The sequence below is a fragment of the Homo sapiens genome, chromosome 3 (assembly GCF_000001405.40).
Source record: "Homo sapiens chromosome 3, GRCh38.p14 Primary Assembly".
Lineage (NCBI taxonomy): Eukaryota > Metazoa > Chordata > Mammalia > Primates > Hominidae > Homo > Homo sapiens.
In genome coordinates this window covers 105,825,642-105,848,581 of record NC_000003.12, presented here as the reverse complement: position 1 = coordinate 105,848,581, position 22,940 = coordinate 105,825,642, and the positions used below count along the sequence as shown (strand labels likewise).

The 22,940-nt window shown below is 35.2% G+C and overlaps 1 protein-coding gene across 43 annotated transcripts in view, besides 1 other annotated feature; it reads left to right on the top strand.

Moving 5' to 3' along the window:
- Positions 1–22,940, top strand: part of CBLB (Cbl proto-oncogene B) — a 213,989-nt gene that overhangs the window by 20,868 nt on the left and 170,181 nt on the right. Inside the window, exon 4 of one of the 43 annotated variants that reach the window (NR_135807.2) lies at positions 9,112–9,159. The exons of 40 other annotated variants lie outside the window; for them this stretch is intronic. The gene's annotated coding sequence lies outside the window, so the exon portion shown is untranslated. Of the gene's footprint in view, positions 1–9,111; positions 9,160–22,940 lie in introns of those variants that run through there. 2 more of the 43 variants (NM_001321813.1, XM_047449115.1) reach the window with 2 other exon arrangements.
- Positions 19,579–19,628: a silencer, noted in NCBI's record as "silent region_14582". NCBI's record gives its function as "represses an Ori minimal core promoter by ATAC-STARR-seq in GM12878 lymphoblastoid cells {active_cell/tissue: GM12878}" and the evidence as "EXISTENCE:reporter gene assay evidence [ECO:0000049][PMID:35858748]".

Sequence of the window (22,940 nt, the reverse complement as noted above, 5' to 3'; positions counted from 1 at the left end):
TTTAAGGGGAGATGAGAAAAAATTTAGGTGTCAATTCTGAACTGATTGCTTTTTAAAATTTTAGTTGATTGTTAATGATGAATGAGTAGCCCGAATTTTAAAGCAATTTTACATAAATGTAATAAATAGAAAGATAAAGAAGTAAATGGCATTCAATACATTTCCTAGTTACTTAGGTCCTGTGTAGAAGGAGAGAGGTAGAAATTATAGTCACATAATTGTATATGCTACTGAAGTAGATATTTAGGGCACAGTGAAAGTCTTTTGCCTTGAGAGTAGATAATGATTTCTAGTAGAGAAAAGGCATGAGCAGGCTGCATGCCTCCCCCGACTGATACAGTAAACCTTCATCTTTTATATCATTTTTCCCAAATTGTTGTTGTTGCTGGTGCTCTGTTGTTTTGTTCTTTTTCTTTCTTTCTCTTTTCCTGCAAACAGTTCAATGTCACACTGAGTTGGTGCTACTCCAGCTGGGTGTCTAAACCATTCTGAGCTGACATTTCTGGGAAGAGTAATTCAGTGATTTCTGACAAGCATAAAGCTTGCATGTGTATGTGTGTGTATGTGTGGAGAGAAGGTAAAGAACATGTGGAGAAGTCTGTAGTTTGAAGCATAGAGAAAAGGAGAAACTCTAAGTATTATATTACTTAAAGTTTTAGTGGCGCAAGTAAAAATGGATGTGAAGGTTGTCATTGCTAACAAATGTATAATTGATAGGAGGCATTTCTATGATTTTACTGGCAGTTTCATCAGTTAACCATTTTAATAGTAAAATTTATTTCTTCTGAAAAGTGTGTATTAATCAGCTGCTCTGCAAGGTCTGGTGTTGGCCACTGTGTTTTTTAAAACACTCAGATGATGGCCGAAGGATACTGAGATTTTCCCTATTTTTGAACTGCTTGAGTGAGCCAGGGTGCTACAACCCATTTTCCCCTCCTACACACTGCTAGACAACCACTGGAAAAAAAGTCAACTGAGGTGGAAAAAATAGCTCTGCCTTTGATAGACTGTGAAGAAAATAAAGATTAACAAAAGCTCTGGCCAGAGAGGAAAACATAGATGTTGCCTTAACATTAACATTAATGTCATTTCAGAGCCTTTGAATCATGCCTTAATAACCAGTGTTGTAGAAAAAATAAATGACAAAATGGGGTGTGTGTGTGTGTGTGTGTGTGTGTGTGTGTGTGTGGTGGAGGGTTACATGTTCTGTAGTTAAAAAAAGTATTTGACATAGAAAAATTAGCTCTAGAAGAAGCTAGCCTGTATTTAAAAGGCTTCAGGAGCATCCGGCAGAAATATTTTTCTCCATTGACTGTTTGGCTAAACAAAGAATAATTTGTAATCTGCTCCATTAATAAAGTGCCTTTCCCCTTAAAGGACTACAGATCACTATGCTTGCTGTTTCTACTTGTGTTGGTTATTTACAAGATAGTGTACCAAAAAACATTTTGCAATTGGTACGTTGAAGATACATGGTTAAAAGTTGAATCAAAAGCAACAGCAGCCACAATAATAACAAGAGCAACAACAAAACAAAAGCTGCAAACAAACCTACTTTCTTTCCTTATGTTACTGTATGACATCATTGCTTTGAGTAAAGAATACAGTAGTATTAATTTAAATGCTTAAATTTATATTTATACAAATGTTGATAGCATGGTCATTGAAATAGTTTTGCAAGTCCTCACAGGTTTTCAGTTTACCATATAAAGAGATTGATCTGTATGTGTAATTTGTGCTTTAAGTGGTAGTTTTAATAGTTACTGGACCTCACAGTTTAATGGGCATGTTTATAATGCTACATCAATTACCACATTTTCTCATAGTTCTGTATATTGTGAGAAGAAAATGAAAAAAGTGCTGTTTAACTAAGTACAGGAATGTGGAGCCAGGAAATCTCATGCTCTGATGCCATTTCTTCTCCCAGTGTTCTTTGTAACTTTGGTTGGCTTCCTGACTCCAATTTACATTTTTTCAGTTATTAAATTATTTTCTGGTTATTCATAACATTTTCACCTCAGACATTTCAATGTCACAAATGAAAATTAAGTTGTTTCAGACTAAATGCTACTGTTGCTACCTCAGTCTGTTAATATTTCAACTTTAGTAGTAGTTTCTATAGTAAAAATATTGTTTTTGTTATTATAACAATTATTTGCAAGAGAATCTTAAGAAGGTTTGTCTTTTATAAATAAATTATACTATATTGGATATCTATGAAATATGTAATGATACATGAAAGGGAATGGCTTATATTCATCATTAAAATAATTTTACATTTAAAAAATTAACCTAGTTTTTCTGTTTCTCCTTTTTTTGTTTACTAATGGTGAAAATTGCAATTATTTTGAATTTGATGAGGACAAAGGACCAATTGCAAGTAGAAAATATTTCTAAATAAATCAAAATAGGCAACTAATTTCTTTTGAACACAAGTATTTTGATATAAACATATACATTTACTCATTTTTTCTATATTTGTTTGCATTCAAGGCATTTTTTCCTTTTAAATGGGAAACTAGAGGAATGAAAATATGAATTTTTGATACTTCAAAATAATAATTTTTATCTTGGATTCAGAAGACAAATAGTAATCAATCTCTTATGTAGAAGTATGTCTGCCAGATAGGAAGTAGAATTTGCTTTAGAAAGCTTGAAAAATCTTCTGAGATTGATTTATTGTAAATGAATAAAAAGTTTATTTTATCTTGATGAGAATGTTTTTATGCATATTTCAAGCATCTGAGTGGTGTGAATAGACTTTTCTAAAGTTTGGAAATGAAGGGGCTCATTTCTTTAACACACCATGAAAGTAGAGGCCACAAGAAAGTTATTTAGACAAATGTTTTCAAAGTTAAACAAAGGGAGTCTGTTAGGGGAGGCAGGTGAGAGCTTGCAGAATCTTTGACTGTTAAGGACTTTATGGCCCTGTGTATTTGGCTAACTGCACCCCTGCTGCTTAGCTAGCTAGATACAATGTAATTTTCTTGTTGATTTTTCAATGAAAAGTGAAAGTTTTTTTTTTTTAATAGCAGTTTCCTCTCTAGGGTATATTTTACAAAATACAAAAGAAAACGAAATTATTCAGATGTAATTAAAATGAATTCCACCATTAGCTTTTTAAATTTTAATAAAATGCTTACTTGTAATACATTTATTTGCTATTTATTTCATTTATTTAGTTTAGTTTTTTTTTTTTTTTCTAAGCCCCATGTTAATACTGTTCAGCCCCCAACTCCTGGTTTCTTAGTAACTAAAACTTATTGCAAGTATTTTAATTTCTTCTAAATCAGATTATATATTATGCACATATGATATTTGGATATTAAAATTGAGGACTTTTTTCCCCCACAGATGAGCATTTGTTAAATGTTTATATATTCCTGAGAATGATACCAATTATTATATATATTAAGCAAACTCACAAGACTCAAGTGAACTTGGCTTTGCAGTGGAATACCGTTTATGTTTTTCAGTCTTAGGTAGCTTATTAAAATTGATGTTTTCCTTTCAGTAAATATCTGGTGACATTAAAATTTGATAATTAAAATCCAGAAGCACTCAAGAAAGAATGCCTGCTTTTAGTTTCATAATAACAATACTCCCACAAAGAAAGTTGATGAATGATGTCTTTCAAGTGGCAGAGTTGTTATTTAGTTAAAGAAAGCTCCTTTGGCAGTTTCTTACAAAACTAAATTAAAGTTTGTTTATAAAACAGACAAGCTACAGTGATAATCCTATAGCCTCAAGAGTGCTTGGAATCTAGCCCAAGAAGAGTCTTGTTTTTCAGTGATTTAACAAAGAAGTGGAGTTTCCAAGAATCCAAACAGATTAGCATTCAGTGCTAATTGGGTAGGGTGTAAAATAGTATTCATGTCTGATTGTTTTGATGTGAAGTACTTCATAACCATTCCGTTTTCTAAATCTTTTAAAAATATTAATCTTTTGTCTCTTCAGATTTATTGTTTGAGCATGAGTTTTTGTTTGAGGATATATGTATACATCAATGGTTCATAGATGTGCTGTAAACAGCAAGACACATGAGATCATTACAAAAAGTGCCCTTTATAGATTAAAATAATAAAGAGAGATTGAGGCTCTGTTGTTCAGTGGAAACATTGAAGAACAAATTAAACTGAAAGATAATTTAGATGTTCTATTGAAATGTATTACTTTGAACATCTGATCATGTGATTATAATATACCACTTTCACATATAATCACAAATGTGTGACTGTATTTGTTTCTTCGGGCTGCGGTAACGAAGTACCACATACTGGGTGGCTTAAACGAGAGAAATTTATTCTCTCACATTTCTGGAGGCAAGAAATCTGAAATCAGGGTGTCAGCCAGCAGGGCCTTGCCCCTCAGAACCCTCTAGAATAGGTAATTTCTTTGTCTGTCTCAGTTTCTGGTAGCTCCAGGAATTCCTTAGCTTATGGCAGCGTAAGTCTGTTCTCTGCTCTGTCATCACACAGTGTTCTCTGTGTATGTACGTGTGTGTCCAAATTTCCCTCTTACAAAAACACCAGTGATTTTGGATCAGAGCCTACCCTTGTGACCCCATCTTGACTTCATTACAGCTGCAAAGATGCTATTTTGAAACAAGGTCATATTGACAGGTAGGATTGAGGTTAGAATTTAAACATATCTTTTTAGGGGACACCATTCAGTCCCTAACAGTGACCAAATATGGCAGTGTACATTTATACTAAGGAGGGGAAGAAAGTTGAAACCCATTAGAACATGTCATGGAGGTTTGAAAAACTTGGATTAATAGAATATAATAGCAAACAAAATTACTTGTAATTATTTTTTGTAAAGGTCTGTAGCTGAAATAAGTTTTTTTCAGGTGTGTAATGCATGGTTAATTTATGCATTAGTTTTTATAAATATATTGGAAAACATGGCATATTCTGCATTTCCCAATAATACATTTTTGTATTTATTGATATAATTGAATTTGTAAGTACCTTTTTTTAACATTCTTACCGATTTTAATGTATAAAGTGCCATCTCTCTTTAGAAATTATTAGTAATACAAATATGTACATTTAATTTACATTTATAATATTAATAGCCCTGGTTATTTCTTAACAATCCCTGTTTTCTTTAATTTTGTGATAATCTCTGGAGGATTAATTAGAATAATTATAACTTATTAAATCTGTTTATAAACTTTTCCCTATTGCACATAGAAAATAAATAATTGGGAAGTGTTTTCCATGTTGGTGACAAAGAGAAGGCAACAAACACCACATTCATTTTGTCTTTAATATTAAAATATGGAGTATTAAACATGATTTCAATTCAAATTTTAGGAAATCAATTTGAGGATTTTAGTTTAAACAAGAGTAAATGATTGTTTCTGAAAGTGGCATGTTGAATGGTTTAAACCATGGGTCAGCAAACTGTACAGAGCCAGATAGTAAATAGTTTAGACTTTGCCAGATGGTCTCTGGCAATTAGTCAGCGTTGCCTCTGTACTAGGAAAGCAGACATAGACAGTCTGTAAATTAATTGACATGGCTGTATTTTGATAAAAATTTATTTACAAAAATGAGCCAGACCAAATTTGACCATTGGGTGGTCCTTCGCCAACCCTTGGCTTAAAGTACCTATCTAATTTTTGGAGAGTAAAATTTTAAAACTATTTTATCAACACCAATCCATCATATAAGTTGCATTATATGTAAGTTTCATCAACACAGACTGAGTATATAAGTTGGCTAAAAGTAACAATACCCATCTAACAGTACAATGCTGTCAGAGACCCAGGCTCTTTCTGGCTTATTGTAATTCATTTCCTTAGCATGTTGGGTTTTATCTTCATTCTGTTCCCTTCACAGTTGTGGAATTCCTGTTGCAGCTTCATTTTTTAAGGACACAAGGCAGGAAAGGGGAAGGGCAACTCCACACGTGTCTGTCTTCTTATCTTGAATTGCAAAGCTGTCCCAGTACCTTACCACCTACTTGCTTCTCTAGCAGATTCTCTTCCATATTATTTAAGCCACTGGGTCACTCCAGGTTACAAAGGTAGCGGTATATTGAAACTTTGAAATTTCAGCCTCCATAGTAAAGAAGGGCAAGGGAGAAACGGTGTTTGTTTAGTCAGTCTAAATTGTCAAAGGAGATAGCCAGATATCTCTTTTTGAGAGATAAACAGACACTCTTCATTTAAACATGGTATAACTTGGCTTTAAGGCATATTTCTTTAAAAATATATTGTCAAGGACTGCGAAGAGCCTGAAGCTACTTTGCCATACTTTCAGGGCTAGCAGAAGACAGGAGAATATTTGGTCGGGGAAAATGAACCATTTATTAGTCACAGAGGGACAGCATTAGGCAAGGGGTCATCACTTGTGCCAGGTCACCAACCCTCAGTTTCTATAGGACAGTATAAAGGGCAGGAGACACCTGCATGTGCAGTGGCTGGCATTACAGATGAATCCCAAGCCTAAGGACCCTGAATTTTTATAATGGACAGTAAACCTGCCTGACTCTTGCTCTGGAAGGAGACATTATCTTTATTGAACTGGACTGTAACCCTCTTTTTTTTTTTTTCTCCAGAGGAAAACACTGTCCCTATTATCTAAGGCTGTTTGATACACAAATGTTCCTGAAAGGATAATTTGAAAGGCTGGCAGTATCTGGTTGCAAGACATGAAAAAATGTGGGAGACCTATAGATACTTCTCCCCAAAATATTTATGTTCTGTTCTTTCTTAAAAACCATAATGTATCTCATGTTCTCAGTTTTGAATGCTACTTAAGAGTAAGGATATTTACTCTATTTTGGATTATTGGTAAGCTTAAAATCTTGGGTTCTGGGCTGGGCGTGGTGGCTCACACCTGTAATCCCAGCACTTTGGGAGGCTGAGGTGGGCAGATCATGAGGTCAGGAGATCGAGACCATCCTGGCTAACATGGTGAAACCCTGTCTGTAATAAAAATACAAAAAAATTAGCTGGGCGTGGTGGCGGGTGCCTGTAGTCCCAGCTACTCGGGAGGCTGAGGCAGGAGAATGGCGTGAATCCGGGAGGCGGAGCTTGCAGTGAGCCGAGATCACACCACTGCACTCCAGCCTGGGCAATACAGTGAGACCCCGTCTCAAAAAATATATATATATCTTGGTTTCTGCCATTTTAATATATATAACAAATTATGTATTTGATATATCTAATATGTATATTAGAAATCTCACATATATGTGAAATAATGTGATCTCCAGAACAACTGTGGAAACTTTGTGGTGTGAACATTTTTAATTCCTTTTTTTTTTTTTTTGAAATGAAGTCTTGCTCTGTTGCCCAGGCTGGAGTGCAGTGGCACGATCTCGGCTCACTGCAACCTCCGCCTCCCAGGTTCAAGCGATTCTTCTGCCTCAGCTTCCCAAGTAGCTGGGACTACAGATGCACGTCACCATGCAGAGCTAATTGTTTTTGTATTTTTGTAGAGATAGGGTTTCACCATGTTGGCCAGACTGGTCTCAAACTCCTGACCTTAGGTGATCTGCCCACCTCGGCCTCCCAAAGTGCTGGGCTTACAGGCATGAGCCACTGTGCTTGGCCTACATTTTTTATTCTTGTTTGCATATTAGAAAAAAAACTTTAATAATTAAAGAAGGAACAGTTTTACAAAGACTTTTCATTTCAAGCTCATTATCCTTTAAAAGAGAAGACGATTATATTTTCTTCTTTTTTTTTTTTTCTTGAGTAATACTTCATTCACTTTTCAACTTTGACTACTGTAACTTTAGGTTTAGACCCAAATAATTGGTTTCAGTAGGTAAGGAAGGTTGAAATTATGTGATATAAGAATGATATTGTTTATCTTTGTTATCAGTGTCTAAACCTCAGAGATGAGCACCAGGTAGTCCAATTCCATTTTCCTGTGTGGAGAAGCTAAATAGATTGGAGGTTACATGACTTGACACACTGGGGTGTGCATGTAATATTCATGTGTGATATATTTCTAAATGAAGTTTCGTTACCAGTTGGCATGTCTGAGCCTACAGCTGTTGGCATATGAAGGGTATCAGAATTATAATGCCTTTTTCAACTTTGTTTCGGGAGGACTCATTTGAACAATTAGCACATTTTATGGTTGTGAAAATGAACTGTTGTTTTTTCTCTTCATTAAACCAGAATTAATATTGTATGTCATCTGGTCAGTCGATGCAACTTTTTTTTTTTTCTAACACGATGCTTGTATTCATTAAATTCAGAAAGACTATTTAAAGCTTTATTTTTCAAGTATACCTTTTTCTGTAAATATCTCTTCCTTTCTCACTCTGTTTATGTATATACATGTGTGAAATATTACTTGTAACTTTTTAAGCATTTAATTTGTCTTGATGGGCACAGATTTTTAAAAAGGAAGTAAGAAAGATTACCTAGTTTTTTCTGAACTATATTAATGATAAAGCATCTCAGCTCATTTTACAGATGCTGAAAACCCTTCGCGTTTTGTTCTGAAGGTTTTTGTAGGGCATACTGATTTTCTATGAAGTATGTGGAGCTGTCAATTTTATTCTTTTTTCCAGAGATTTCAGAAAATTTTCATTTAACTAAAGATTTCCATCCTGGTCAGCTGGGTCTCATTTACCTGATTAAAATAGGTTTGCATGGATAAAGTCTTAAAGCAAATTCTCCTTACCACATTTTGTGTGAATTTTTTCCTCTTTAATACTAATTTTAGTTTGTTCTCATTACAATTGCATATGTAAAAAATACTTTTTGATAAAGCAACTGAAACTTTGAAGTTGATAATTTATCACAATACTTTTTTCCCCATTATATCAACACTTGGCAAACTACAGACTGTGAGCCTAATCCAGGTTGTATTTCCTTCTGTGAGTAAATTTTCAATGGCGGAGCCATGCTCATTTATTTACTTACTGTCTGTGGCTACAATGGCAGAGGTAAGTAGTTCCATAGAGACTATCTGGCCTGCAGAGCTGAAAACTTTTACTCTCTGGGCCTTTACTGCAAATGTTTGCTGATTCCTGCATTACTGATATCATTTTCATAACAGTCTTAAAAACTTGGCATTTTTAAACTTAAATACTTTTTTCTTTTTGTCGCTTTCTTCTCTACCCTATCTCTGCCAGCAGTTCTTTGTGAATTACCATTGTGATCTTCTAAAGGCAAAAAAAATGGTAGGTAGTCAATGACTGATAGCTATAGACCTATGAAACTAACATTTCCTATCTTGTCTCAATATTCTGATGTATATAATCATTTTAAAACATAATAAATTTAGGCCTTTTTTGTTTTTGTTTTTAACACAAGATATGCCACTAATGTCTGACAAGCATTTAATCTAGTGGCTTTCCTGCATTTTCCATGGATCAGATGCATTCTAATCCTCTGAAATGATTATTAAATACAGATTGCCAGCCTTTATATAATGCCTGCTAAATTTACCAGTTGGGATCTGCACATATATTGGTAAAGAGTGCCCTAGCAGTTTCTGACCTTCTGTCTGCTTTCAGAATCCACATGAGTCAAATTATCTCCTTTTATGTATAATCTTATCAAGGACTATTGAGGTGGCACAGGTGGGGATGGAATCCTGGATGTGTTCAGAACTCCTTTCATTTTACTAAGCTTCCTTTATACTACCAGAGGAATCCACTTCCAGTCTCGAGTCACTTAGAAGAGGGGGCCGGGCGTGATGGCTCATGCCTGTAATCCCAGCACTTTGAGAGGTCAGGAGATCAAGACCATCCTGGCCAACATGGTGAAACCCTGTCTCTACTAAAAATGCAAAAATTAGCTGGGTGTGGTGGCATGCGCCTGTAATCAGGAGGCTGAGGCAGGAGAATGGCTTGAACCTGGTAGGTGGAGATTGCAGTGAGCCGAGTTCACACTACTACACTCCAGCCTGGCGACAGAAAAAAAAAAAAAAAAAGAAGGATACATTTCTGTAAGGTTTTTAAAGTTTTGTTGGAAAAGATGGATTGCAATTCTCTTCTTATGTTTTTCTGAGATTAGCCTAATCACTATCCTTGGAATTTACCTTTGCTTGCCAGCCTTTTATCCTGCCCCTTTCTCCTCCCTTTCCTATTTCCAGTTTATGCAGATATTCTTTCTTATTACTGGCATAGCTAACATTCCCACTCTATCCCCATGCCCATCTTGGCTCTGATTTTCTGATCATTCTAGCTAAAATGTGTCTTTTCCTTCTGACCATAGCATTTATCAAGGCCTTTCATGTGGCAGTTAATGATATATTGTCAAATATTGTTATCTTTTTAAAATGGTGTTAGGAGCCTGGGTAACAGAGAGACCCCATCTCTACAAAAAAAAAAAAAAAAAAAAAAAAAAAATAGCCAGGTGTGTTGGCCCATGCCTGTGGTCCCAGCTACTCTGGAGGCTGAAATGGGTGAGATTGCTTGAGCCAAGGAGGTTGAGGCTACTGTGAGCTGAGGTCATGGCGCTGCACTCCAGCCTGGGTGACAGAGTGAGAACGTGTCTCAGAAAAAAAAAAAAAAAGAAAAAAAGGAAAAAAAAAGGTAATAGGCTATGTCTCTTCTGTGTCTCCCATGGTATCCAGAACAGTGCTTTATACTTGGCAAACACTCATAATAATATATGGTTATTTCTTTAGAATTACTATAGGATGATTTGAAAATCCTGATGTATTCCTAGATTACGAGCTGCTGGGGCCTGGAGGGAGGCAGAAGAGAGATGTTACAATGGAAAGTGTTGAAGTGTCTGAAGGCTTGTTTTTAGAATTTGTAGGTACACTCTGAATGTCAGCTTCTTCACATTTGGGAATGAGTACTGGCGATTTTAGAAGAAAAGAAAATGCTTATAAGGATAGTAATATCATTATTATTTATGTTTTAATTATAAATATATTTCAAAGCAACTCTTAACTGTATGTATTCTCAAAATAGCTTTACTGTAATAACATTCTTGGACAAAGTTCATGAAATTACTACAGTTTACAAGTACTTCTTTAATGGAGTGTCCTTGTAGCTACACTTAGTACCTGTAAGATAAATTCCTAAAAAATTCACATCATTCTGCCTACTCTCACAAACTACTCAAAGCAATGAGCATATTGCATAGCTTTCTTATTGACTTATTAGTTCTGTATCTGAGCTCCAATGAGTGTTTTCACTTCCTCTTATTCTTATATTAACATTTCTTCAAAGACTGTTTTTGTTTCTGTGATGTGTTGTACTTATGACCCTGAATACACAGGACTTTTCGGCAACTGGGGAATCCTCCAAAAATCTATGCTTTCGACATGAATAGTCCAGTTTCATTTGGTATGTATTATTGACAGAAGTGCTTCATCCTCTTTATAGCTTGCTGTGCAGCAGATGGTTGTTATATTATTCAGGACTCTTGAGGCAGTGCATTAATACGCGTGCACAATGTTTTTTAAGTCTTATTGTGGGAATTGTCTTGTGTCCTTGTTGACGGAATTCCTTAATACGGATGAAGATTTCCAAACTTGAAAACTAGTTTTTAAATTTTAGCTAAGGCTATTTTGTATTTATGTATTGCTTAACTGCTATCTCTTTTTCTTTCCTTTTAAAGTAAAGGTCGGAGGGTTGGATCTAATATTCTTGCTATAAATGATTTTTTTTTTTTTTTGGTCTTGTTTTGTTTTGATGTGAGCATATCAGCTTTGAGGGACATCTGAGATATTTTGAATATGTAGGCAGGGCTTTTAAAGAAAGGAATTGCTGTTTTCTTACATCCACCATGCAGACTTAGACTTGACAGGAAAACAGAGGCATGTGTGTTCTCACTGTGTATTATCGTTGCGCCCCCTCACATAGCTGTTAGGGTTTGTCAGCAGTTTGTTTTGACTCACTAGACCAAGGGTGGGGGTGGTTTTGTGTGTTTTTGTAAGTTAACTAGTGTGGGATGTCAGTAATCTCAGCTTTACCATTTTAGTTGGCCATGATCCCTTCATGTAAGAAACCGTCATATTTGCCCTATTTCTCAGGCCATACTGTGGTTCCGAAACTTGCCCGTAAATATTTGTGAAATAGTTTTTCTTTTCTTATAACTCTGGAGGTCAAAACCCAGCCCTAAGATAAACTCCTGTTTCATATTGCCTCTGCGGGGTGCTCATGGTATGTCCCCAGACTAATTTGGGAACCTCCTTGAATTACTTTTTAAAATTTATCTGGATAGTTCTTACACAATTAAATTTAATTTTTATTTATTATAGCAAGATTGAGGACACTCCCAAATCCACACTTCATTTCCTGGGAGATCATGTTAGACACAGATAACTATGCTAAATTATTTTGATCCAGGTAAGCGTGTTAGAAAGAGAGGATGGGGCTGCTGGACTTCATTGAGAGGATCTTTTGATTTCAGAAACCATTAGTGAAGGAAAGGTGTACTAGACAGAGCTGTCATAACCTTTTTACTATTTCTTAAGAGAAGTGGTACCTCTGAGAGTTGTGTAACATGGTGGTCTTCCCACATCTTTATCAAGAGATTAATTAAGGTTGTGAAGTAAAGCTTTAGAGGTGAGGCACAAAAGGCAAGCAGTGTTTACCTCTAATCACTCGAGGTAACCTTTATATTGGAAGATCAGTGTAGATGTATTGTGTACCAGATAACATTCCATTATGTAACTATTCTTTATTTACTTCCTCTACTGTATGTGTGGCATCATTCCAGCATCAAGTTTAATCCTTCTTTGTATGCATTTATTGTAAACTGTCATTTATGTGGGATTAAAATAACTGGAAAGCCTAAATAACTGGAATTCTTGTAGCATGTTTGGTACTTGACATTTAAAAGAGAGACAGATGGCAAGTAAACAAGGTGAGAGCAGGACTTTATTTGCTGTACTGCAATCTCAAACTGCTGTCAAGAATTTTAATTAGATGTTATTTTAGGAAGCTTTCAATTTACTGCAGGTCATTGAAGCTTAGAAAGAAGCAGAATGTACACCAAGTATTTTAATATGTTAGCAATCCACTGCAATTAGTTAATCTGGAGCTAGTAGGTTGTATTTTTAAGAGTGTAAACATTTTACTGGGTTTCAGTGTGACTTAGAGTAAAATAATTTTTCTGTTTAATTTTAAATCATACTATTTTAAATTTCTAAGTTGGGCTTCAGTATCAAGTTGGTTGAATTAAAGATTTAAATATTTCTCCTGATGTCTTCCCTTCTCCTTCCTACTAAACTGGTGTTCATTTTTCTTTATGGTGATCATTTCTAATTTCCCACAGCTTCCCTGGACATTTCCTTCACTGTGAGATAGTAGTTTTACACATCATTCAACATCCAGTTGTTCAGTTTTCACAAAAAGATTTCTGAGAAATCTGACTTCAAAGTTACTCTTTTCAAACTGAAGCTCGTTTTTAGAACTATTCATGATATAGGAAAATACATTCATAACTGAAAGCTTTTTTTGGGTTATTCTTTGTAACATTACATGCCGCTTTTCACCAATGAAAAGAATCCTCAAGAACCTGGAAAAAGCAATTCCTTTTTGCAGTTAAAATGAAGATAAAGAGCCTTGAAAAATGGCTGATGCTAATAGTTCATGGAGATTAATAAGTGATATGTGAAAGGCAGACTGTCCTGTAGTTGCAAAATGTTACATAGTTTGTACACCTTGTCAGCGTTGTGATAACATGAAGTCATAGTTTAATTGGTAAACAAGAAAAGCTTCCAATAAAGTGTCCCATGGATGATCTTTTCCTTTGAGACTGCAGCATTTCTGAAGAATATAGGGTATCTTGTGATACAGCAAGGTAAAAGCAGGGCACATCTTCCCTATGATAAATCTGTGCTCTTATTGTCGGAGTTTAACCTAGTCCTTCATATTTTGTTTCTGAATACTTGAGTTCATTTATGTATAGTGGGGAAGATTTTGTTTTTGATTTTGACTTCTGTCATGCTTGCTTGCTTACTTGATTTTCTTTTCTTTTTTGAGATGGAGTTTTGCTCTGTCGCTCAGGCTGGAGTGCAGTGGCGCAATCTTGTCTCACTGCAAGCTCCGCCTCCCTGGTTCATGCCATTCTCCTGCCTCAGCCTCCTGAGTAGCTGGGACTACAGGTGCCTGCCACCACGCCCGGCTAATTTTTTGTATTTTTAGTAGAGACGGGGTTTCACCGTGTTAGCCAGGATGGTCTCCATCTCCTGACCTCGTGATCCACCCGCCTCGGCCTCCCAAAGTGCTGGGATTACAGGCATGAGCTACCGTGTCCAGCCCTATTTCTTTATTTAAAAATGACAAATACATTTATGGTTGTACTACATGATGTTTCTGTATATGTATACATTGTGGAATGGCTAAATCAAGCTAATTAACATAGCCATTACTTCCCATACTTACTTTTTTTCTTTTTTAACTGGTGAGAACATTTAAAATATACCCTCTTAGCAATTTTCAATATACAGTACATTGTTAACCTCTTGAACTTATGTCTCCGGTCTAACTGAAATTTCGTATCCTTTGACCAATAGCTCTTCATCCACTGCCTCAACTGCCCACCCCCACCCCAGGAAATTGTGATTGATATATTTTTTAAGGTTGTTGAATTAATTGTCTTTTTTGCAGTTAAAAAATATATTAATAGTAAAATGGGCTAGGTAGAGATTTTTTCAGAGGGCAAGTTAATTCTGGACCTGACAACCTTAAGGTCTGGAAAAATAGTTACTCTCAAATTTTTTTTTTTAAAACGAAAGGTTTTACTTAATTATCAGGTTCTAATTCCCTTAGGATACTGGTCTTCAGTGATTGTTTAAATGTCTCAGAGGAAACTTATATAAAGTTTGGAATTTTCATTTTAAAATTTGTGTTGTTCCAAGATTTCAAAACAGATCTAATCTAGATTATTATTGATGTTAAATGATGTAAAATAAAAGTATATTTAATTTTAGAAATTTCCATTAATAATAAAATTATTCAAATTATAAGGAATATACCCAAGAATGTGAGTTCTTTTCAAACCAGAATTAAACTCATTTATATTTATAATACCCCTAAGTACTGAAAATAAATACTAACAGCATTTCTTATTCAGAAAACAAAACTGGTTGCAAGCAGCAAGAGAAAATATCTTGCTGAGTGTCGCTTTGAAAGCCAAATGAGTTGTAAAAAAAAAGTAAAAGTTCCTAGTTTTTGTTTTACAATAAAGTTTCTAATTTTGTCTTTAGTTTTAACTGATCATAGAAATTAATAAGCCTGTCTGTCTCAGAGAGAGATATTTGTTCTGCCTTCACTATTCTGCCTGAAGCAGGATTCTGGAATGTTCTTCAGAATCATGCAGAATGAGTTGTAATTATTTGCTACAGAATGAGTTGCAATATTTGCTAGTCTTCAAATTCATTCTCATTATTCAAGATTATATGATCAGAATGAATGGAAACTGCGATGGCTATAACCTAGAGAAGTAATAAGACAAAAAGCATTATTTACTCATATGAAGGGTTTATCATTCATATTTCTTCATCATCTACCTTTCTAGATTCATTTCACGACACTCTCCCTCAGGTCTTCCTTCTTTATCCACTCACATCATTTTTCAGTTTTTCAGGCCTTTAGGACCTCCACATCTGAGGCTTCATGTGCCTGATTTTTTTCCAACTACCTAACACATCTTTCGTATCATAACTTAAATGTCATTTCCTCAGAGAGGCCTTCCCTGAGTGATCATTAAATGTTTTGACACATTATTTTATCTCATGGTATTCTGCTGTGTTCTTTCCAGTACTTGTCACAGTTTCTGTTTCTTCGTTTTCTTCACCACTGTCACCACAGTGCCTACTTCATTTCCAACACGGTGTAGGTACTCAATACAGATTGAAGGAATGAAGGATAGATAATGCACTCATCTTGAGCTACATCCTATTTAGTGAGCACCATAAAACTTGGCAGGCATTGTTAGACCTTTATATGGACAAGAGCTTTGATGGTTCGTTTTTGTTTTGTTCAGTTTTGTTTTCTTTCTGGAGATGGAAAAAGAAATTTAATAGTGATAAAGCCAGAGAAACTTAAGCTGGACCTGTCAATCTGGTATGGTTGAGAGGTATTTATTTTAATCAGCTGTGGATTGTATTTTCATGTGACATTTTAAAAAGGATGAAAAGGGTCTTACAGCCACATGCATCATTCTTTTGCCTGCTGATCCATAATTAGAATCAGCATCTAGAATCTGTTTTTGTATATAACTGAAGTATCAGAGTTACAAGTAAAACCACTTTCCACGTTATTTGTTGTCCATTAACTGCTGAAGATTAGCATATTTAAAAGTTTTACTGAGAAGCACATAATTGGAACCTGATGTTTGTTATTTATCCTGATTCATGTTATATTTTCTTCTTAGTGGACATTAAAATTTCAAAATTGCTATAACAGAGGTGCTGTTGGGGTAGTTTCTTAGTTGTATATGGGTCGTATATTGTATATGGGAATCTTTTTATGGTACACATCTGTTTTCATCAAATAGGTGAGTAGTATTCGGGCATTACCTTATACCTTCTTTAAAGAATTTTCATCCATTGCTTTAATAATTATATTATGCCAGCTCTATTTAATATAATTAAATTTTTTTTTAAAATTTCCTGTTGTATCAACCTGAAACTACTTTGACTAGCATTTTGGCTGCAACCTTCTTTTCTTAACTGTTCAGTATCCCTCTGTGTATTTTTATTTGGTTCCCTTAATTGGAAATAATTTAAAAAACATAATGTGTGACTTTCTTGCTTACTCTTGAATAACATTTAAACTTCAGCCTCACTTGTCTAATTTCAGTTCTGAGGTATGTTCTACTTGTTGCCTCCTCAAATTGCTTTGCCTTCCTGAAAAGTTTTTCTTTTGATTCTACATATTTTCAGGGGAGGGATAAAGATCTAAGCATAAATATCACCTCCTTAGATGGGTCTTTTTTGACCATCCTATCAAATAGGTTGTCACAGTTAGTATTGTGAATATTTTCTGATGATTTATTTTCTCCCCCAACAAATTTTAACTGTCTTTCAAAGTATAATTGAAGTTCTCATTCTTGAAGCATTTTCTGAATAATCAAGTGCTAGAACTTGAGCATTTTTTAGCTTTTACTTTTTGTCAGAACATTGTAGTTGGTGGTGTAGAGACAGTTCTATCTTGATGCTTCAGGTTCTCATTTCTACTTGAGGGAAGCTCACAATTTTCAGGAATCACGGAGGATGGCATTTGAGCCCGCCTGGCGGTCTGAGCCCACCTGGAGATCCCCATCCTTTCAATGGGGAAATGTATTTGAGCTATTCCCCAAGCTAATGCTCAGGTAGGAGATACAGGCAGGAAAAGATGTCATGGAAGATATTTTAAAGGAATGGGAGTATACGCCTAGCTTAGAATACAATATGTGAAAGCATATTGTATTGTGGTTCTTTGGTGCTGGATATCTCAGGAGTGGAGGAATTGAAGGATTGTGTTTTCATTTTTACACTTTTTCTCTTCTGCTCTTCTGATTTTTCAACCATGAACATGGTTATGTGTATGGTCTGGTTTGGGGGAAGTATATATCAGAAAAAATAAAACAAGAAAGGAAGTTACTCTGGTTACCATGCAATTTCGTATTTAAATGACAAGGTTTTGCATTTTGGATATTTCATGTCAGCCGTGTCTCCTCAGCTAAGTTCTAGTCACTTAGAAGTTTGGTGTCACTGAATTATAATTTTGGTGCTTCCCATGTTTTATATTTACACTAGACTACATGCTATATGGACAATGTGCAATCAGTTAATATCTGAATGAATGAATTGACCAACTTTTGAGAACAGAGTTTGACATAAATTTGGTGGTTTTTGGTTCATTGTGCTTTAATTGAAGGAGAAGTAGACATTGTACTTCACATTAGGCTACTCTTTAGATAAGCTTTCCATTACATGGCATGTGTCTTACTTTCTTACTTGATAATGGCTCTGTTTCTGAAATTATATAAACAGATTTTTACTGTTTTTAAACTTTACAACTTAATATTAGACTGTAAATTATTTACTTATTTATTGGAAACAAACTTTTAGATACAGAAATTGGTCTTTTAAGACAACAACAAAAAATACCTAGTTTTTAATCTGGCTCCTGTCTTTCATGACTAAGTCTGACTGATCTTTCTTGTTATATGATGCTTTATAAGATTGATTCTGTATCCGGGTTACCAACGCTTCCTGTAACAGAAGAAAAACATTCAGATCCTTATAGTGCTGAGTCAGGGGAAATTATTACATACAACAAAGGAAAAGTCTTTGATAGGAAATATTGCTTCTGGTAGGAAATTAAGTACAGAGTACAAGGATCTAAATGTCTGTCATATAAACAATGGGCAATCTTATTAGGCAATTTTGGACACCTATTACGTGGCTTTATTTATTTATTAATAGTAGGCTTTTCTCATCATGGTTCATGGGGATTTGTAAGGTAACGATACCCTGGACAGCCTTCCAAGATGTTTTGATGTTGGCAGCAATGCATTACTGGGGCAGGGGCAGGGGAGGAGGTAGAAAGTGTGATAACTCTGCATCACTCCTTCTTCTTTGTTCTCATTTATAACACCTAAGGCATTGGAATTCCCCAGAGTAAGAATTCTAGTGAAAAGGGAAGCAAATAAAATACATCTGACAGTTGGGATCCTTGGGTTTATACATGTGCTGACTAATTACATATGAAATGAGATATCCCCTTAAATTAAAACTATTTGAAGATACCACTTCAAATATATGTAATAGATGATTTACACTTCTTATCATGGCTTTCAATAGCAAGAATTTCTCTTGCAGTAGGATAATTAACTAGAAATATAAAGAAATGTTTCAAAAGTATAATAATGTAGAAGAAAAATAGAAAAATTTGATTTTGGAAGAAATCTTCCTCCATTATTATGAAGATAGCTGCAGTTTGGTTTTTTTTTTTTTTTTTTTTTTTTTTTTTTTTTTTGGGACGGTCTTGCTGTGTCGCTCTGGCTATGGTGTGGTGGCATGAACACAGCTCACTGCAGCCTGTACTTACTAGGTTGAGCCATCCTCCTGCCTCAGTCTCCAAGTAGGCTCCCAAGTAGGTGGGACTACAGGTACATGCCACTATGCCTGGCTGATTTTTAAATTTTTTGTAGAGACAGGGTCTCGCCATGTTGCCTAGGCTGGTCTTGAACTCCTGGGCTCAGGCATTTCTCCTGCCTTGGCCTCCCAAAGCGTCAAGATCACAGGCATGAGTCACCACACCCAGCTGATAGCTGCAGTTTTGTGTGTGAGAGTTGATCTTCTTGCCTTTACTGTGACAAAACATCTTTATGGAAAGACAAACAGTATTCGTTACGTTTATTTTACCTGTGTATTCAAGAATGTTTATTTTTTTCATAAGCTACAAAACCAGATTAGAAAAGTAACTTGTATTTCCTAAAAGGAGGCATATTTTAGGAGCTATATGAACTGGGCATTTTTAATTTTTTTTCATTACTTTGGGGAATATTTCAGGATCTCATCAGCATTCATTACATGGGAGGACAGGGGATTAAAAAAACAAAATTGATTGTTAATGAATTTTTTTTTTTTTGTATTTAGGAAGAAGAAAGACTGTAACTTAAAAAGAATTGTGGCAAATTATATATGTTAAATATTCTGGTCTAGAAATGTGGTATAGAGGTTCCCTAGAAGCTTCTGTTCCACTGTGGTTAAAATGTTTTCTCACCTTCTTGAACTGTCTTTGTAGGTGATGTCATGAAATGTCCCAAGAGAACGTTGTATAAAACTTCCTTTGACCTTTCTGGACTCAGGGCTGAGCTCCTTAGACCTACAGTTTCTTGTTAAAATCGAGTAGGTTGTGTTTGAAAAATAAAGTTTATTTGTAAAATTATTTCAGTTTATATTTTATGTATAATCATCTCTCTTACAAATATATGACTCAAGGAAAGATAGTATTTTGCCCTAGGGTCAAGAGTGAAATTATTTAAACTTATTAGTGCATATTTATTTCTTTTCTATTTTATGCTAAAAAAATGTGTGGAACTAAAATTTGAAAAGATACTTATTTTGTTAGTTTAGAAAATGTTTAGTATTTCATATAATCTTAACTTTCAAGTATTTTGGCGTCTATCTTAATATTTTCTCCTTTAAGAAAAGACAAAAATTAAAAATCTTATTCTAACTTAGTTTAGTCCACTCAGTGAAACAGCATTTAATATTTAATGAAAATTGTTTTGTCGTTTCCTTTGACATCTGTATTAAAGATTGCTAATTGCCTCCAAAATCCATTTTGTCCCTTTCCTATCATTATATATTTCCCCATTGTTATCCATCCATAGTAAAGATAGCATTTCCTGGGTTCACATGTTGCTGATGTGGCCCTGTGAGCAAGTTTTGATGAATTGGATGTGAGTAGAAGTGAGCTGTGCAGCTTCTAGATCATGCCCTTAAAGGGAAGCCACATGCCCGCTCATTCCCCTTTTTCCTGCTCCCTGCTGGCTAGAATGTGAACAGGGTTATGAGTCATCTCAACCATGTGAAGGAGGGTGATGGAACAGGGATGGGAGAAGGAGCCTAAGTCCTTGACTTCTCCATAGACTAGAGCTGCTTTGCTTAGGCGAGAAGGAAATAAACATCAGCATCAGATAGTATTATTCTGTCACACTTAGCCAAAACTGTGTATAAAATACATTACCATGCTGACAGAATTCACCATTTCTGCTGTGTTTTTTTGAGGTTTAAGTTTCAAATTTGCATAATATGTGAAGGCATTTTCATGTGAAATAAAACATTATTAACTATATCTTGTTTTCAGAGCAACCACTGGATTCATGCTAATACTGCTTTTATATTACAGTTATTCAGTATTAAACCATTTTGTGACTATCTGTAACTGTTAGATGTATGACCCATTTGAGGCGTAAACAGAGTGCTGTCTCTTGATAATCTAAATTTCCTGTCTTAAATTTTTGTGTCTGCTTTGCCTCCCTTTCTTTGTCTTCCTCCCTCATGTCTTTCCCTCCCCTTTCTGCCTTTGGCTAATGTCTGGGCCAGTGCTGGTAAAGTGCTCCCTGGCCAGTCCATGGGAGTTTAAGGACCTTAACAGAGACCAGGTTCCTGGCGTTACTTCTGAACACACACACACACACATACACACTGGTAAAATTCAGTTACTTGCTTGGGGAGTTTATGAGTTTATATTGTAATGGATGGAAAAATGCCCTGTGCTTTGCAACCTTTTAGACTAAGTAATAACACTTACAAGAAATTGTGAGTGTTATGGGAACCAACTTCTGTGTGGGAGATGGGTACGAGGGAAAAAAAAAGTTTCATAATGATGAATGAGAAATTTTCAGAAAGCATTGTTTGGTTTGTCATTTTCAGTCCAGAAGGTTACTTACGTCATTTACTCTGGGGATGGAATATAGCTTCACTGAATGACAGCATTTGGTTCCAAGTTATTTAGTTATGTTTCATTGTGTTGAAATACCCTACCTTTGCCAGAATCGTTGTAAACTATGTGTGAAGCTCTAGGTGGGGAAAAATTGAAAGGAGCGCCATATTATATTACAGGAACAATTCATGTCCTACTCTTGGTTTCCTTTCAAAGCCCTGTATTTGTGGCTGTGCTAATAAATTCCATCACATTCATTATGCATAGCTGTAAGTGTATGTAAATACCACGCATCTTGCATTTTGAAGAAAACCAGGGAGTGAACACACATAGTCTTTCTTGCCTGGGATTCATTTATTTTTTAAAATTCATTTTATATATGAATGAGAAAGTTGAGGGAACATTTCCTTTCATACCAACATAGAAAATCCTCTAATACCACATCCCCTGTCTCCTGGTCCTGGGAGCAGTAATGGGATTTTCTGGGTGCATTTGCATCATGTGTATCATTGCTTTTCTGTTTATGTTCAGAAGCCTTTTCTGCCAAGGCTTCCACAATCTTCTGACCCCAGCAGCAGGTACATCCTTGTAGATGTCAGTGTAAGTCTTTATATTATGAAGAGTATTTGAGAGAATGGTACAAGAGGATGAAAGGGTGAATGGAAGTTGGGGGCAAAATAATGGAGGGCTAAAGAATATAGATTTGATCTTACAAAAGCTGTCGAGAAACCATTGTGCATTCTTAAGCAGTGAAGTGGCACCATTTAAAATGCACATGAATGATTAGTCTAATATAGTTTGTCTGACGGCAAAGACTGGAGAGTGGAGTAAGAAATTTGTTGGATTTTATACCAAAAAGCTAAAGTGTTTCTAGGATAGCATGTCTTGTTTAATATTTTATCTTTTTTCAAAATGGAGATCATGTTTTATACTGCCTTGTTATATGGTTTTATTACTTCTTTATGAATGACTTAATAGAGCATTTTGTGTATGTGGTAAATATTTGTATGTTCGTTTCTCTGATCAAGAAGCTAATGGATTATTTTGAAGTATCTACTATTTTGTAGCACTACATGAGTTGTACAATTAACTTGAGTCCCCATAAACAAAATTGGGGACATGCTGGATCCATGTCATGCTGTCATGCTGGAGCCGTGTCATGCTGGAGCCATTTCAAACTCCAGTGTGCTTGACGTTAAATTTCAAAAGTCAAGGAAATTGTTGTTAAGGAGCTTAGTTGAAGCTATCTTTTCAAGAATTTAATCTACTAATTCATTTTGTTTAATTTTTAGGAATTTGTATGTCATTAAAATACTCTCAAAAATGCTGTTCTGATTTGAAATGAAATACGAGTATAAAAATTGGGGTCGATCTTTGGTACATTGTTTATTGTACTGGAAAATGAATGCTTAACATTAGTCTGTGATAGTGATATCATGCTATTTTGTATTCAAGCCTTTATATGTTTTCATCAGGAAGAGTCAGGCAAAAGCAGACAAAAATTTCAACTAATGGCAAAGCACTTTGTACCTTTAAAACAATTTAATGAGGAGTTGTTTTTACTCTAAAAGCTGAGGCAAGAGATACATGGCAGTAAAATCTGCTAT